The 17,704-nt window shown below is 43.5% G+C and overlaps 1 protein-coding gene and 1 long non-coding RNA gene across 4 annotated transcripts in view; one reads left to right on the plus strand and one right to left on the minus strand.

The window, feature by feature from the left end:
• Positions 1-9,125: 9,125 nt before the first annotated feature.
• On the minus strand, positions 9,126-16,368 carry LOC105371403 (uncharacterized). Of its 2 annotated transcripts, none has more exons than XR_922106.2 (2): positions 15,853-16,368; positions 9,126-9,947 (listed from the first exon to the last, which is right to left on the minus strand). It is a non-coding gene; the product is annotated as an uncharacterized LOC105371403 (long non-coding RNA). The 2 variants fall into 2 exon arrangements; XR_007066564.1 differs by having other exon boundaries at positions 12,126-16,368.
• Positions 16,369-16,567: 199 nt separating this feature from the next.
• NOTCH2NLC (notch 2 N-terminal like C) overlaps positions 16,568-17,704 on the plus strand; it is an 81,213-nt gene continuing 80,076 nt past the window's right edge. For both annotated transcript variants that reach the window (NM_001364012.2, NM_001364013.2), the window contains exon 1: positions 16,568-16,869. Coding sequence is in view for 1 of the 2 variants with exons in the window: in NM_001364013.2 (NP_001350942.1) it covers positions 16,735-16,869 (135 nt within the window). In the remaining variant the exon portion in view is untranslated. The remainder of the gene's footprint in view (positions 16,870-17,704) is intronic.

A 17,704-nucleotide genomic window follows, 5' to 3' on the forward strand; every position in this document is an offset into this window, starting at 1 on the left:
CTACAGTTGCGGTGCATTCCTAACTTTGCAGGGTCGTTGCCTACCACTCTCCCTGCCCACGCTTGTCTGCTTCCCCTCCAGTCACATGGCCTTTCTAACCTTCCTTGGTCATGCTGTTCCTATCCCATCCTCATCTCTCTGTCTGTAATGCCCTTCCTCCAACTTTTCTTTTCATAAATCCCTAATTCATTCTCAAAGCACAAATCAAAACTTTTTCCTTCTGCAATGCCTTTTATTTGTCTCAAGACAGAATTCATCACTTCCTCTTTTGAGTTGCTAAGACATTTTGTACAGATCTGTATTACATATTTCACATTGTGTTTTGCTTGGTTTTATATATGTATCTGTTCCATCACAAGAATGCACAAAAGCCATATCTTGTTTATATCAGTACTAGGCATATAGCAAGCACTCAATAATGTTTATGACCTTAAAGCGAACATATAAACAGATGAGAATGGAGGGGCAACAGAAAGGAACCAAAAGATTAAAAGAGTGCCTTTGATAAAAGATAAAGAGGAAGGAAGAGACTGAGAAGACCCTCAAAGACAGCATTCAGAAGACCCTAGAGGCAGAGTGTGATGAAGGCTGGAGTTAGAGTGGCTGACCTCTAATTAAAGAGGAGAATGTGAGAGGCAGCACCACATGCAGTGAGCTGCAGGCCTGAGAAAGAGAAAGGCTGTTGGATGTGACCACGAAGAGATCCTAATGGTTTTAGGAAGCATAATGAGAATGCCCAGTCAGGACCCTGGGTCTGCTCCTGTTTTTAGGTTAGGAGAGATTAGGTTAGGTTAGGATCTCCAGAGGATAAATGACTTGAGGAAAAGGAATATCACACCTCATATCCGATCAACCTGCTTGAATGCTTGAGGCCATGAACACCTCAGCACAGCTCCAAGTCAGTTTGGAAGGCTTGGTTCTTTCATCTGATACCACGACTTCAAAGTACTAGGAGATGTAGATGGTTCTCAGGGAATACAGAAGCCAACATAATGTATTCCCCTATAATAATCAGAGATTTTCATCAATAGGGCACAGTTGGCTGGGTGGTCCAGGCTCCTGAGGAACAAAGGCAAAATGTCTAAATCTGGCTTCAGAACTGAGAATAATTTCTCTTTCACGGAACTTTTCTGGATGATGATATTTCTCTATATAAAGCATTCTCTGACCCAGTGGACAAATATTTCTCACATCTCTGCCTGCCTTGAACCTTGCCCTCCTATCTTCCATCAACACTGCTGTCAGCTGTATTCTCCAACCTGTGTCTTGTTTGGCTAACCTGTATGGCCAACTGTCTGTCTTTACCTTTACAAAGCCTGATCTAGACAAACTTCTATGCCGGACATCTGCACTGATTTTTGCCCAAATCAATTGTCTAGCATCTATTTCTGTGATCTGCTTCTGCTGTGTCTGAATCAGTCTGCTGTGGTCTGATAGGTTGCACATTCTCAATGGGAGTGAGAATTGATCTTGGGGGATAAAAAACAACTTAATTTTTTAAATGTACAAAGTGCAGATATACATACAATGCATAAACCGATATCACAATATATCTGCGTGTATTAGGGCTCTCCAGAGAAACAGAACTGATAGCATATATTATATATAGATACACAGAAATAGATTTATTACGAGAGATTGGCTCATGCAATTATGGAACCTGTGAAGTCCCATGATCAGCTGTCTGCAAATTGGAAGCCCAGGAAAGTTACTGGTGTATTATAACTCCAGTCCAAGCCAGAAGGCCTGAGAACCAGGAGAGCCAATCCTGTAAGTCCCAGTCCAAGTCCAAAGGCCCCAAAACCAGAAACACTACTGATATCCAAGGGCAGGAGGAGATGGATGTCCCAGCTCCAGAAGAGAGAGTGAACTTGTGGTTCCTCCACCTCTCTGTTTTATTCAGGCCTTCAAGGGATTGCATGATGCCCACTCACACTGCCAAGGGTGATCTTTTACTCACTCTACCAATTCAAATGCTAACCTTTTCCAAGAACACCCTCCCAGACACACCCACAAATAATGTTTTACCAGTGATCTCAGCAATCCGTAGCCCGCTAAAGTTGACACACAAAATTAACCATCACACTATGGTACGAAAATTTGATAGAGGAGAGCAATTTTTAAAAACATCTGAAAAGCCTCCTTAGGAAGGCAATAATGAAAAGAAAAGGGTTGAGAAATATTGTGATAGGTGATGAGGCTGCAATTCCTGTAACAGAAGGAACATAAGGAGACTGGATTGTGAGGAAATGGAGGTAGTCACAGTTATTTGACTGAGAAGTAGACTACAGAGAGAATTCCGATGAAGCAAACAAATTATGAGCACTTATTATGTGCCATGAACTGTGTGAAACCCTTTCACATTTGTTAGCAAAGAGCTTCTCCTTTAGTAGTAATGTACATATTCCTTGCAGAAAAAACAGTGACATTTTCCATTGAGACAGTAGCGCACCTATCTCTCCTCTGCTTCAGCAGCCTTTATGCTAATTACTGTTTTGGAAGTAACTCCTCATTCACTTTTTGCAACATAAGATAATGAGAAATACAGCCCAGATTTTGTTTGTAGAAGCTCCTTTCATGGCAGCCTTTCAACAGTTTGGGTAATTTAAAAGATGCAGTTGTAATCGTGACTAACTCATTAAGATGCTTGATGAGCATCTTAATGAGTTAAAAAACCTGGACATTTTTAACGCACTTTTGGAAAGAGGCAAGAAAAATATAAGAGTGGGAATAATCCAAGGAAAACATTTCAAGTCTTTGAACAGTAGACCCTAGAATTTCCTTAGCTTGAGATAGGTTAGGACAAGAAAACAGAATGTTGCTTAAAAGAAGCCCAGTGATCATTTGTGTCTACTTGCACTTCTGGAAGATGACTTTTGTTTGTTAGTTGGTTCATTTTGACTTAAAAAGTGTTTTTCGGCCAGGTGCGGTGGCTCACACCTGTAATACCAGCACTTTGGGAGGCCGAGGTGGGCAGATCACAAGGTCAGGAGATCGAGACCATCCTGGCTAACATGGTGAAACCCCGCCTCTATTAAAAATACAAAAAATTAGCCAGGTGTGTTGACGGGCGCCTGTAGTCCCAGCTACTCGGGAGGCTGAGGCAGGAGAATGGCATGAACCTGGGAGGCGGAGCTTGCAGTGAGCCGAGATCGCTCCACTGCACTCCAACCTGGGCGACAGGGGGAGACTCTGTCTCAAAAAACAACAACAACAACAACAACAAAACCCACAACATTTTTCTTTGTTCTCTCTCAGTACTCATTAAGAATTTACTACTGCGTCTTTAGATTTTATCTCAGGCAGATCAATGCTATGTATTTGTCCCCTGTACTTGATCCCTGTGCTTTCCTTCTCTCCTACTTTCCTACTCTTGTCATGAGTGCTGAGGCAGGGATGATGTTGGGGTGGAAAGCTGAAGGGCGAAGATGAATGAGCCACAGTGTCCACTTAGAATCTACAGCCAACTCTTGGCAGCTTATCCGTGGTAATTCTTGTTTCAGCTTCTTGTTGACTTTATCACCCACTCAATGTGCTTAACTCTATGATGGATGTTATCATCAGCTCTGTTTATTCACAATGCCAAGAACACCAGTGGAACAGGGAAATATTCAGGAAAACCCACTTTATGGTGTCAACTTGACCAGAAAACGAAACACAACTCCATCATTGCTTTATTGAATTTGGCATCGTTCTAGAAATAAACTATCATTTATATTTTGTCAAAAAGAAGAGGAGAAGAGATTTCAAAAGCACTGCTTCTGGGGAGGGTCTGGATCAAAGGTAAATGTGTGACTTTAGGTGACAGAAAAGCATCTCCACTCAGATGCATCCAACTTTGAGGGGGCACTGACTACAGGACAGTAGAGACAAGGGACACTCATGAACAAGCAGCTTTTCCAATTCTGGGTCCTTTTCAAACTGTAGTATCAACATATATTTTTAAGTTTCATAAATTCTTGGAACATTAAACATATCCATTCAAACAGTTCTTTCAATATGGTGGATATTTGTAGGCTGCCCTGGAAATCAGAACACCTTGAATTTAATTCCTGCTATGACATTGGCTGACTCTGTAACTTTCACCTTTTTTAGTTCTCCAAGATGATATAAATAATGGAAAACATATAGGACTCTAAAATGGTTGCAACATAGGTTCAAATCTGACCCCTACCACTTGTTAGCTTGTCAACATTGGATAAGTTATTTGACTTCTTTGAGCATCAGTATCTTTATTTGTTAAATGGAGATAAAGATATCTTTCTTGCAGGAATGTTGTATGGATCTAATGAGATCATGTATGCAAAACACCCAACACATAGTTGTCACTTTATAAATGGCTGTTCTAGTAGCCATTTGCACAGAGATGGGGAAAGGCTAGGTGACAAAAGGCATGGGCATTCTGAGCTCATCAGTTGATAGGGCTTCCTTAACATCATAGCTTTATTAGAGAAGGAGGAGGATACAGCCCAGCCACATAGGAACTCAGGCCTGTTTTATTTCCGCAGGATCTGGTCACCACAACAATCAGAATGTGCAGGGGTAAGACTAAGGAAGAGAGAGAGAGGAAGAATGGATGGTGGGGGGGGGGCGGCTCTCTTCTTCCTGGCAGCAGAGAATCCCCCAGTATTCCTTCAGTTGCAGAAACTAAAGGGAAGGCAAATGGCTGTCTGCTTGTGGTGCATGCACCAAGACAAACTACTAAAGTGTTTCCTGCCCAGTCCCCACAGGTGTTGCTTCTCAGCTTTGGATAAGTCCTCCAGCAAGTACTTTGTTGAAAGCGAGAAAGGCAGCTGCATAACTCTCCAGTCCACAGAGCTGACAAATCACTGTGTCATCAAAGAAGAGGGAATCATGGGAAATAGCCTGTGGTTCACCCTCTAAGGCAGGGAGTCAGGAGGCTGTGAGGTGGCACATTTGATTCTTGCTCATTAACATAGTTTCTCTTTGTGTCCTCCTCCTCCTCTTTGCCTGCTTGCCTGTTCCACTGGGTAAGCAGCAAGTGCCTACTCAAATCATTATTTATCAAATGTGTACTATGTTCCCAACATTCATTCAATACACCTATATTGAAAGCCTTTTATGAGAATAACAAAAATAACAAGATAGATTCAGAGTAAGATTCAGAGACTGAAGCAAGTCCGCATATAGTAATCACATGATCAACTAGTTGTTAAGTGGTATATATAATACATAGAAACCAACCGTGGAGGACCTCAGGGAAAGGAGCCAGGAAGCTGAGGAAGGCTTTGGAGAGAAGATGACATTGGAGCTAGGCCTTCACCCAAAATTCCATAGGTGTTGGTCCATTTTGCATTGCTATAAAGGAATACCTGAGACTGGGTAATTTAAGGGGAAAAGGGGTTTATTTTGGCCAGGACTGGTGGCTCACATCTATTATCCCAGAACTTTGGGAGGCTGAAGCGGGTGGATCACTTGAGGTCAGGAGTTTGAGACCAGCCTCCCCAACATGGCAAGAGCCTGTCTCTACTAAACATAGAAAAATTAGCTGGGTGTGGTGGCACAAGCCTGTAATCCCACTTACCCAGGAGGCTGAGGGATGAGAATTGTTTGAACCTGGGAGGCAGAGGTTGCAGTGAGCGGAGCTTGCACCAGGGCACTCCAGACTGGGAAACAGAGCAAGAATTTGTCACGAAAAAAAAGAAAAAAAGAAAAAAAGAGGTATGTTTGGCTCACAGTTCTGCAGGCTGTAGGTGAAGCAGAGTGCTGGCATCTGCTTCTGGTGAGGGCCTTGGGAAGCTTACATTCATTCTGGAAGGCAAAGGGGAGCCAGTGTGTCATATGGCAAGAGAGGGAGCAAGAGAGGGGAGGGTGTCAGGCTCCTTGTAAACAACCAGGTCTACTGTGAACTAAAAGAGTGAGAACTTGCTTATCACCAAGGGGATGGCGCTAAGCCATCCATGAGGGATCTGCCCTCAAGATCCAACACCTCCCATTGGGCCCCACCTCCCACATTGGGGATCACATTTCAACATGTGATTTGGAGGGGACACACATCCAAACCATATATCACTATGGGTCAACTGTATCACTATGGATCCAGGGGAGGATGGGATAGGGGAGGGGAGGCAGCAAGGGCATTATAGGCAAAGGGAAGTGCACATATGAAGGTGAAGAGGACATGAGCCCACAGCATGTCTGGGGACTGGCTGGTAGCTTGATGTGCCTGGAACAAAGGCTATGCAATCCTGGGCAGCAGCAGGGGGAGAGGTAAATGTGGTCGGAATGCCAACGATTTTCCATGCCAGTCTGTCCAGTTTGGGCTTTAACTGTAGAGAATGGGGAGCCATTGGTGAGTTTTAAGTATGAAGTGATGGGTTTATACTTGTATTTTGGACAATCCTGTGGGCTTCAGAGTACTGAATGGACTAAAAGAGAGGCTAAAAGCTGGGAGACAGTTAAGAGCTCACTGAAATTGCCAATGATGTCAAATGCTGCAAACTCATCAAGGAAAATGAAGACTGAGAATGAGTTCATTGCATTTGACAGTTGGAGATCTTTGGTGACATCTAAAAGTAATTTCACTATAACGACTGAAGCAGAAGCTGGATTACTAAGCCAGTAGTTCTCAAAGTGTGGTCCCTAGATCAGCAGCACTGGCATCACTTGAGAATGTTATAAATGTAAATTATCTGGCTCAACCCACACCCCTTTCAAAACTTTGGGAATGAAGCCTAGCAATTGGCATTTTTACAAGTCTTCTGGATGATTCTGATAAATGCTAAAGTTTGAGAACAACTAGCCTAAATGACTCTTCATCTCTTCCCCAGACGTTCCTTACTCTGATGACACCTCAATTATTTGATATTTCCTAAGTAATCATTAATATGGTTTCTCAGTTATCTGCATAAATTGTTCCTGTCAGTCATGTGCAATATATGTACAGTCTCTGCCTGGTAATATTGAACTCATTGTTCTAGGCCTAACTCAAATGTCACCTCCCTAGGAAGTCTCTCCAATTTCCTCCAGGCAGCCCCCCATGGATACTTGTGCACATATTTATGTCATAAAATGTATTTTATTTGTTGTGTTGATTTGGTTTACTATCTTCCCTACTAACTAGAAGCTCTTCGGGAGTAGGGACTGCTTTATCGATCTCTATTTCCATATTGTTTTTACATCTTAAGTGCTCAATAAATGTAAGAAGAGGAAGCTGTAATAAATTGCAGAAATAAAAACAGAAAGGGACAAACCACTGTTTTAAGAGGTTTGGAAGTGAAAGATGAATTTGAAATAGAAATACAATAGAAAATGTGTGTGTGTGTGTGTGTGTGTGTGTGTGTGTGTGTGTGTGTGTGTCTGGAAGAAAACTGTTGGCTGAGGGATTAAGCCAGTAGAGAGGGAAAGATGAATGATGAGACAGTGGGAATCAGTGGGTATTGAATGCAAAATGGTCCTGGAGAAGGCAGAAGGGAATTAAATCAATGGCCAATGCTGAAGAATTAGCATTGAAAGAAGGAAAGACTCTTTTTTTTCTGAGATACAACCCAAGGAAGTAAAGGTGGATACATAAGTGATGAGTTGTGAGGTTGAGATGGGAGATGGTAGGGAGTCCTTAGATGGCCTGTCAGTGTAGAAATGGTGAGGGCTAGGGAAGGTTTTGCAGGGGAGGTGATATTTGAACTAGGAGATGTCTTTAGTGAAGTAGGAAGTGAAGCCTTTTGCTGGGAAGAAAATGGGGAACAGAAAGAAGGAAAGAGGCTACAGCAGAGAGGTGAAGACTTGTAAATGCTAGGGAGGGGATTGGAGAACAACAGCAGGGGATTCTTTTGGGCTGATCCATCTCCCTGATTCAAGACAAAGAAAGAGTCCACTTATTCATCCAATTGTGATTGGCAATAAAAGAAGTATGGAGGGATTGTCCCCAAAGGCTGTCTTTGAAATAAGATGGGCAACTTCTGGATACAGATCCCAATACTAATATAGAAAGTATTCTAGCTCTATATATTAATTAAGGCTGGAATATTTTGCAGACAATAACAATGCTATGTATGGCAACTATGTACAACAAAGGAAAATATTTATGGTATATGAATTGCCTAAGAAATCTGGATAAAAACTATATGTATGTCGGCCAGGTATGGTGGCTCACGCCTGTAATCCCAGCACTTTGGGAGGCCAAGGCAGGTGGATCACCTAAGGTCAGGAGTTCGAGACCAGCCTGGTCAACATGGTGAAACCCTGTCTCTACTAAAAATACAAAAATTAGCCAGGCATAGTCACGTGCACCTGTAATCCCAGCTACTAGGGAGGCTGAGGCAGGAGAGTCACTTGAACCTGGGAGGCGGGGGTTGCAGTGAGCCGAGATCGCACCACTGCACTCCAGCCTGGGCGACAGAGCAAGACTCCATCTTAAAAAAAAAAACAAAACAAAACTATATGTATGTCTTGATTACAACTCTGTAAGAACATACATATGAAGAACAAATGAATAAAACACATGAAAATGCTATTAGTGGTGGTATTATAGGTCATTTTTCCTTTACATTTTAAATTGATGTTTTAATGTTTATAATTAGTTGGCAATAAATAGAATTTTTTTTCCTTGCTGGCTTTAAAAAATTTACTAGGAACACTTAGAAGAGAGTATTTCAAAATAAAAAGTTGTAAGGTGAAAACAATCAGTAGAATTGTAAGAACACCTCCCATATAAGGGGCAGATGCCAGGAAAAGAAGTCCTTAAGTTGATCCAGAGTTGGAAGCTGACAAGCAAGAGGTTGGATGCCACGATATAGAAGAGCACAAAAGAGGTATATGACCTAGCCCTTGACTCACAGTAAACTTGAGAGACTAGGCTTACAATAAATGATTCGAGGATAACTTATTCAGTTATCTAAACAACGGATGGGACTGGATCACTGAGGCAGTGACCTGTGGGCAGGCGGGACAATGCAGAGGTCAATTATGTGCCATCGGAGTTGATCAGATGGACCTGGGCTTAAATCCCTGTGCCACTGCTTAGCAGCTGTGTGATCTAAGACAACTTACTCAGGTTTCATTTTCTGCACTGTGAAGTAGAAATAATAATACCTTCTCATAAGCTGTTGAAGCATTACAAACAATAAAGCAGGTAAAGTGCTTAATACAATGTTTGACACACAAAATTGCCATTATCGTTATTAACGCTTTATTGTTGCGTCATCTATGAGTATTTATGATGGAGGAAAGTGATTTAGACTAGGGGCACATTGAATTCTTTGGAGGGACTTCAGGGAGGTATCTTAAGAGCCATGAGAGAGTCTCGGGGCAGTGAAGACTCCCTCACTGCTGGAACAATGCTGTGGGCTCACCATAGGCCTTCAGGAGGGGAGAGAGATGTGCAAGGAGGAACTCCATGGTGGTTCTTCTTTTGCTAGTGTTTGTGCTACTTCCCCACTTCTAAACAGGTGCATAGTACTCCAGAGCACCCTTTCATCTTCCTTTCCCACTCTTCTGTTCTGTTTTTCTTCTCTTCAACTCTTCTTACTTCCCTTTTCTCCTCAAAACCAAGTGGTGGATGGGTAAGGAACTATACTATCTTTTGTGTGTTCTAACTTTGCCGTTTTTTTTTTTTTTTTTTTTTTTTTAATCTTAAAGGTTGTCTTCTAACTTCAGCACTCAGAGTTTACATAAGTAAGCCTGGGTTTACCCTACCCACTTCTTCCCTTATTTTTAAAATATCTATTTCCCCAACCATTGTCTTTAGTAAGTACTCTAAAATGACAGTCATCAGCAGAAACGCAAGGATTCCAGGCCATAAGAGTTTGATCAAGAAAGGATTTTTTGAGGTAGCTATATCTTGCAAAAGAAACAGAGGTGTGAACTGTCTGCAGGGCTCTTCTCAGCAATGAGGTGTTCCTTCTGGATTCAGATATAGATCTTAATGGGGTAAACATTCTAGGTCTTACCACCATCTGTTCTTCTTTTTCTGCTTAGACTGTTAGTACCTGTTATAAGAGGAAAGGAGGCAAAAGTGTGAAAGAAAAATGGTTGGATCAGTGGTCTGAGAAAGAGGATAAAGTAGTCATGTGACATTATTCTTAACAGAGATTAGAATGATTAAAAACAAAAACAAGTTGGTATCCAGGATATTCAGGTACAACCACCCCTCACCTGCTGATTCCAATTTCACATTCCATTCCACATTGATGAATAATAATAATGATGTACTTTTAGCTTTGTCAGAAATCCTATCTGCATATTTATAAGGTCATTATGTTTAGTTGTTGCTGATACCTGGTCTGAGTCCAGCAATTACCACCTCTGTCTCTTTGCACACACTGGTAGACATATACACCACTGATTTGTACTTTCCTATAAAATTACTCTTCCCCTTTTTAATTAGAGTGTTTTCAGAAGCAAACCCTATCATTAAGGCCATGTATGCTTCCATTATAAATACCTGTTTCCAGCCATTAATTATCTCCCAATGAATTACTTACTTAGAAGGAGATTTTTAATGCTTTTTTTTTTTTTTTTTTTTTTTTGGAGACAGGGTCTCACTTTGTCACCCAGACTGGAGTGGTGGAGTGGTGTGATCACGGCTTACTGCAGTCTTGACTTCTCAGGCACAGGTGATTCTTCCACCTCAGACTCCTGAATGGCTGGGACCATAGGCGTGCACCACCATGCCCAGCTAATTTTTGTATTTTTTGTAGAGTTAGGGTTTCAACATGTTGCCCAGGCTGGTCTTGAACTCCTAGCCTCAAGCGATCCTCCCGTCTTGGCCTCCCAAAGTGCTGGGATTACAGGTGTGAGTCATTGCGCCTGGCCTGTGCACACTTTTTATAATGGGATTTCTCTTCCTTACTTTTGATGTCCCCTCTCTCATACTTAGTTAACCATTTTGAATTCCACTTAGTAAGAAAAGTTTCCATTTTCTTTTTCTTTGGGGGACTTAGATATGATCTGCACCTAGATGGTAAGAAGATTTTCCATATTTTGAAGTAGAAACTTTCTGTATGCCTGAATCTTGCTGTCAAGAATGTCTTGGCTAATCATGAAGGAAGAATATAAGAATGTGAGTAAAAACAATTCAACAGTCCCTGAGAACAACGTCAATAAATATTCAAAATTGCATAACCATTTTAGTGACTAAAGCACTGAGACTCATCCAATAATACTGTGGTTTGATAATTACACAGTTGTGAATTTATGATACTGTTAAATTGGGGAGACATCTTGGTGCATACAGGTCAACCCTTTCATACATCATTATATACAAAAAGTACACACCTACTTAGGAATTGAAGTGTAATACCTCCTAGCATAAAATGCTTAAAAGAAGATTTTAAGGGAGTGATACAGTGAGCATTCCTATATGAATTTTCCTGCATATCTCAAGCATAGCAGAAGATTTGAAATTTCTAGGTAAGTTTTTTTTTTTTTTTTTTTTTGACAGGGTCTTGCTCTGTCACCCGAGCTGAAATGCAGCAGTGGTAACATGGTTCACTGCAGCCTCAACCTCCTGGGATCAAGTGGTCCTCCCACCTCAGCCTCCCGAGTAGCTGGGACTAGAGACATGCATCACCATGCCCAGTTAGTTTTTTAATTTTTTGTAGAGACAGGGTCTCACTTTGTGGCCCAGCCTGGTCTTGAACTCCTGGGCTCAAGCCATCCTTCTGCCTTGGACTCCCAAAGTGTTGGGATTACAGGTGTGGGCCACTGTGTCCTTCCTTAACATAATAAAATTGAGATAATCACATTCATAAAAGGGCAAAACTATGTCAACAAGCCCACTGTATTAGTCTGTCTTCACAGTGCTGTAAAGAACTGCCCAAGACTGGGTAATTTATAAAGGAAACAGGTTAACTGACTCACAGTTTAGCATGGCTGGGAAGGCCTCAGGAAACTTAACAATCATGGCAGAAGGCAAAGGGGGAAGCAAGGTACCTTCTTCATAAGGCAGCATGAAGGAAAATTAATGCAGGAGGAACTACCAAACACATAAAACCATCAGATCTCGTGAACTCGCTCATTATCAGGAGAACAGCATGGGAGAAACCGCCCCCATGATTCAATTACCTCCACCTGGTCTCTCCCTTGACACATGGGGATTACAATTCAAAATAAGATATTGGGTGGGGACACAGGCAAACTATATCGCCCATATTACAATTACTTACATTACTGATTCCCTTAATTAGAGCAGAGGTAATTAATTGGGTCTAGGCTCAGTGGAAGGGTCTGGCTGGTTCTTAATTCTCAGAGCTACTTTGAATCTTGAGGTTAACTTCTTGCCTTCTAGAACTTGTCCTGTGTTGGGCTGAACTCTGTGAACCTTTCAGAAAGTAGGTCTTTATTGAGCACATACTCTATGCAAGGCAAAGAACCAACTACTGTGGAGTTTACAAACATGAATAAGGGGTAAGAAATGACTCTTGTCACATGGTTTACAGTCCCGCTGTGTGGGCCACCACAGTTCATATCTTTCAGGCTGGGGACTGGATGAGAGGAAAGTGGACTCAAAATTAATCCCAGTGCTCTCTACTTTCCCATATCCCTGTGCTTTATCTCTGTTGTAGTTATGTTATTTGTATGTTGGCCTGCCTCACTGCTCTGTGATCTCCAAAGAACAGGGACTAGGTTTTATTTATTTCTGCATTGCCGCAGAGCCTAGTATGTGCTTTGTAGAGAACAGGCTCTCAAAAAAATTTTAAATTAAAAGAATGTATTCACTTATGTTTCCTAGTTACAGTGGGTCAGCTTGTTCTGTGCTAATATGGAAGTGACAAGAAACTGGTGTCCCTCTACGCAGAGGTCCCCACACTAAATATCATCTTGGATGTGCTTCACATTGTTGCACAAAGGTACAGTGGAGTGAGACTGAGTAAGAGGACAGAAATAGTGGGGGGTTTGTCTCAGCTCACTAATTACTTATTTAACCTTGGGCAAGATACTTAAAGCTCTATCTCAGTTTCTTCATCTGCAAAATGGGGATAATAATGACTGGGGTGCCTATTTCCCACGATTGTTTTGAGGATCAAATGAGATAATATAATTAAAAGTGTTTTTGGAAGGTCTAAATCACTGCGCAACTGCAAGGCATTATTAAAAGAAATCTTCCTTTTAATTCCTGCTTCCACAAACATCTCATCACATATCCTTGGGTTCCTGGGTTACATGGAGAGATTCGTGGTGTAGCTCAATCTATGTGTCATAGCTATCCCACAATCTCTTCTTCAACTTCTCCAACACATCAAGACATTCTTCCAGTCTTGCATTGCTCCCCAGTTTATATAGATATATATGTTCCTCATTCAGCATTTATGTAAAGCATATATTATTGAGCACTTATGTGATAGAAACCGGGGCAAAACAGAAAATAAAACAGAGTTTTATTTTGAGAGTTTTTTACAGCTTATTGGCTCTGAGAGGACAGACATGAGAACAAATAAGTGCCCAATTCTGCATTTATTTTGGAAGGCAGTTTTATGTGAGTTTAAATCAGTAAAGACATAGATGTATATTTTTAGTTTTGATTAAAACTAAAACAATTGGTAGCCCTTATTCATATTTTTCTATCATTAAAACTTATCTTTAAAAAATGTCTTCAGTCATATTTTTCCCTTACTTCCATTCATATTTACTCTTTACTTCTCTTGTCCTTACCAGAATGTATGCAGTAAGTTTTCATATTGTAACACATTCAACAAAAGTTATATGTGAACATAATAGCTGCTTTCTTTAAAACGGTTACTTTGAGAAACTGCATACCTATTTTCTTTTTTTTTTTTTTTTGAGACGGAGTTTCACTCTTGTTGTCCAGGCTGGAGTACAGTGGCACGATCTTGGCTCACTGCAATCTCTGCCTCCTGGGTTCAAGTGATTCTACTGCCTCAGTCTCCTGAGTAGCTGGGATTACAGGTGCTCGCCACCATGCCCGGCTAATTTTTGGTATTTTTAGTAGAGACGGGTTTTCAACATGTTGGCCAGGCTGGTCTCGACCTCCTGACCTCAGGTGATCTGCCCACCTCAGCTTCCCAAAGTGCTGGGATTATGACATAAGCCGCCACGCCTGGCCTGCACATTTATTTTAATAATGTTGTCATAGCTACAGTCGCTTCTAGAGTTGCTCTTTGGGGATAACTATCTTATATTCTTCTGAATATATTTTAATAGTGACAAAACTTATCTTTGCAGGTGATTTTTAAAATTTGTATGCAGCCAAGTCACTATGAATTATCTTTAGTGAGTAAAGAGGAAGATCGAACTGGTAACACTGTGGGTAAACAACTGAAAAATAATGTTATCTTTCTCTGAACATACTTGCACAAGACAAATTCCAAAAATATTTTGACTACGTTATTTTTGAAAAGGGTTTCCAGTATTTCAATGTGACTACTTTCACTAATGATACTTGCTTACCTAAAGTGCTTGTTAACATGCAGTTTTGGAATTTCATAGGTCTATGCCCATACTGACTTGTACTTGCTTAGTGTTGTTTTACATTCTAGTTCAACATCTATTATGTGATAGACACTGGGGATTAATAGGCTGTGGTCTTTGCCCATGAGGACCTCAAAACTTAGTTGAGAACACAGAAATACAAAGAGTCCTGTGTGAAAAATAAGTATTGGTGTTAAGATAAAGAAGCGGCAGTGGAAGACAGTGGAGGGACTGTCTGTTAGAGGGAGGAATTTATTGTGGTGTCGGCAAAGCCTTCTTTGGACTGAAGGATGAATTATGATTAGAAGTTCATTAAGAGGAGGAGGGAAGGGGACTACAGGAGTCATTCCAAGCCAAAGGAACAAAAGATACAGGGACAGAAACAGCAAGATATGTTTGGGGGAATCTCAAGTTAGCCAATACTGTTATTGTGTGAAGTTCACAACAGGGGCAGGGAGGACAGGAGATGGGGCCCAATGACGAAAAGGCCTTGTATGTACCATGTTTAGAAGTTTGAATTTTATCCTATAGGAGTCAGGGAGAGGTTCTATGGGTAGGATTTCCCATCCCAACAGGATTGTAAACTCCCACATCCAATTAGTCACACCTCCATTTTTTTTTCTGTTTCTTTAACATTGTCTCAGATTCATTCCTTCTGAAATCTACCTTATTAGTTCAGGTCTTCTTAAATTTGTGCCTGGACTGTTCACCAACTCTTGACTGGTCCTGGGGCTCCAGTTCACCTCTTGCTCCCAACAATCAATTTTCTACAGAACTATCAGAGCAATCTTCCTTTCCATCAATCTCAACTCTGTTCAAAAACTTTCAATAGTTTTATGTGACCTAAGAGGTAGCTGCCTCCCCACCCTTTCAGCTTGCCATTCAAGGCTGCATAATTTGGTCCCAACCCCCTTTCCGTCCTTGACTCCTCTCACTGCTAACAGAGACAGAACTCATTTACTTACTCTTTTGACTGTACCTTTGCTTTCACGAGGGCTCTTTCCTGGAATGATATGTCCATACAACTATTGTTGTTGTTCTTACTTTTAGCTCTTTTCTTAGCCCACTTGTACCCAGGTTTGATCACACCCCCTACTCTCCTGCCCTGGAAGTAACTACTATTCTGGTTATAGTCTCTTAATATCTATATCTATATCTATATATATGCATCCACAGATAATGTGTAGTATTGTCTTGAAAAAAATATACATAAATGGTATACTTTGTCTCCCTCTGCGATTATTTTCACTATCATTTAGTTTTTAAGATTTATCCCTATTGACATAAATAGCTATAGTCTTTTCAATTACTGTGTTGCATTTCATTTTATAAATATACCATACATTATTCATCCATTCCTCTAAGGGTGGGCATTTATGTTGTTTTCAAGGTTTTGCTATTACAGTGTTACAACGAATATCCTTAGCTTAGCTGGTCTCCTTGTCTTATACAAATTTTACTGACCTTTCAAGATCCTGCTTTCATCCCAGCTCCTCTGGGAAAGCCTTCCCTGAATCCCCCAGCCCACAGCGGCAAAGTCTTGGTACTCAAAGTTGCTTGTGCATCTTTGGTATCATCCCACTGCCAAGCACACAGCTACGCAAAGTAAGGCACTTAAGAAATATTCGCTACACGGATGAACAAATGAATGAATGAATGGGGCAGCACCACTCCGTGATGGCTCTATTCCTTTTTAATGGACTTTGGCGCCTTGGCCCACTTTCCTTCTTTGACAGCACTGGTCCTACTCCAGAGCATTCCTCTAGCTAGCAAAGCAGTGTGTGGATGTGTGGGTGTAGGTGGCGATACAGACCTCACTGGATGAGGACCGCCTCTCCCTGCAAGTTCACGATCCCGGCAAACTCCAGTGCTTGAAGTTCAGAGTCCTACCCCACCCCCCTCACCTCCACGCCCCTTCTGCACTGGTCAAGCCAGCGAGCCGCTGCAGCCCTGATCGAGTTAAGGCTGCTGGAGAAGGATGCGGACGGGGCCAGTGACTCGTAGTAGATCCCTCCGCGCGGAGCTCGGGCCGGCGCTTCTTCCTGCGGGAAACCCCTGGGTGCCCAAGGCGGCGGGGCCGAGGCCGCGGCGACAGTGGGGCGGGGCTTGCGGTGGGAGGAGGCGGCTGAGGCGGAAGGACACACGAGGCTGCTTCGCTGCACACCCGAGAAAGTTTCAGCCAAACTTCGGGCGGCGGCTGAGGCGGCGGCCGAGGAGCGGCGGACTCGGGGCGCGGGGAGTCGAGGCATTTGCGCCTGTGCTTCGGACCGTAGCGCCAGGGCCTGAGCCTTTGAAGCAGGAGGAGGGGAGGAGAGAGTGGGGCTCCTCTATCGGGACCCCCTCCCCATGTGGATCTGCCCAGGCGGCGGCGGCGGCGGCGGCGGCGGCGGAGGAGGCGGCGACCGAGAAGATGCCCGCCCTGCGCCGCTCTGCTGTGGGCGCTGCTGGCGCTCTGGCTGTGCTGCGCGACCCCCGCGCATGGTGAGTATCGGGCTGAGGGGCGCTGTCCGCGGCGCCCGGGGCTGCCACCTGGGGCGACCCTTCTCCCCCTCGGTCCTTCTCTGTGTGGGAAGGCCAGGCTCGGCCGCCGGCGCGGAGCGAGGCCACTCGCTGGGTTCCCGAGAGTTTGGACATCGCCGGGGGCCCCTCCCGTGGTGCCCCGCCAACCGCCGGGGTTCCCCGCCAACCGCCGGGGTTCCCCGCCGCCTCTGCTCCCCGCGGCCCGGGACCCCTCACACGCCTCCTCGGCAGGAGGGAGGCCGGCAGCAAGTCTCAGAAACTCCTTTTTCGTAGTGCCAGGGTGCAGGGAGGTGGGCAGTTTTGCCCTTCAGGTTCCGCGTTTCTTGGGGTCGAGCGAGAGCCGACGGCGGGCCTCGGAGGGGCTGAGCGAAGGCGTGCCAGATTCTGGCGTGGAGAGCGGGGGCAGGGCCGCCAAGCCAAACGGCCTGCACCTTCGCAGCCAGCCTCGCCTTTGCCAGGGGGCGGCACATGGGCCGGGTGTGTGGGCTTGGTTTGGATGGGGACGGGGTTTTGCGGCGCGCCTGAGTTTTGACACTCCAACCCCACCGAAAGTCCGGAGGAGCCGGGTGTGCTGCTCGCGTCTTTGAAAGGTGGAGGCAGGAGAAGTAGGGCAACTGGTGTGGCTGCATGCTGAGGCACATGATTTAAAAATCTCAACTGCTGTTATTCTTTCCGAGGCGCGGAGCTCTGCTGCTGTTTCAGGCTGTGTCCAGACCCAGGAATGTGGTGTGACGATCACCAATTCCTCCAACCTGGCAGCAGCATTTGCTGCTCCTTTGGCATGGCTGGGGGTGGG

Source organism: Homo sapiens, chromosome 1 (assembly GCF_000001405.40).
Source record: "Homo sapiens chromosome 1, GRCh38.p14 Primary Assembly".
Lineage (NCBI taxonomy): Eukaryota > Metazoa > Chordata > Mammalia > Primates > Hominidae > Homo > Homo sapiens.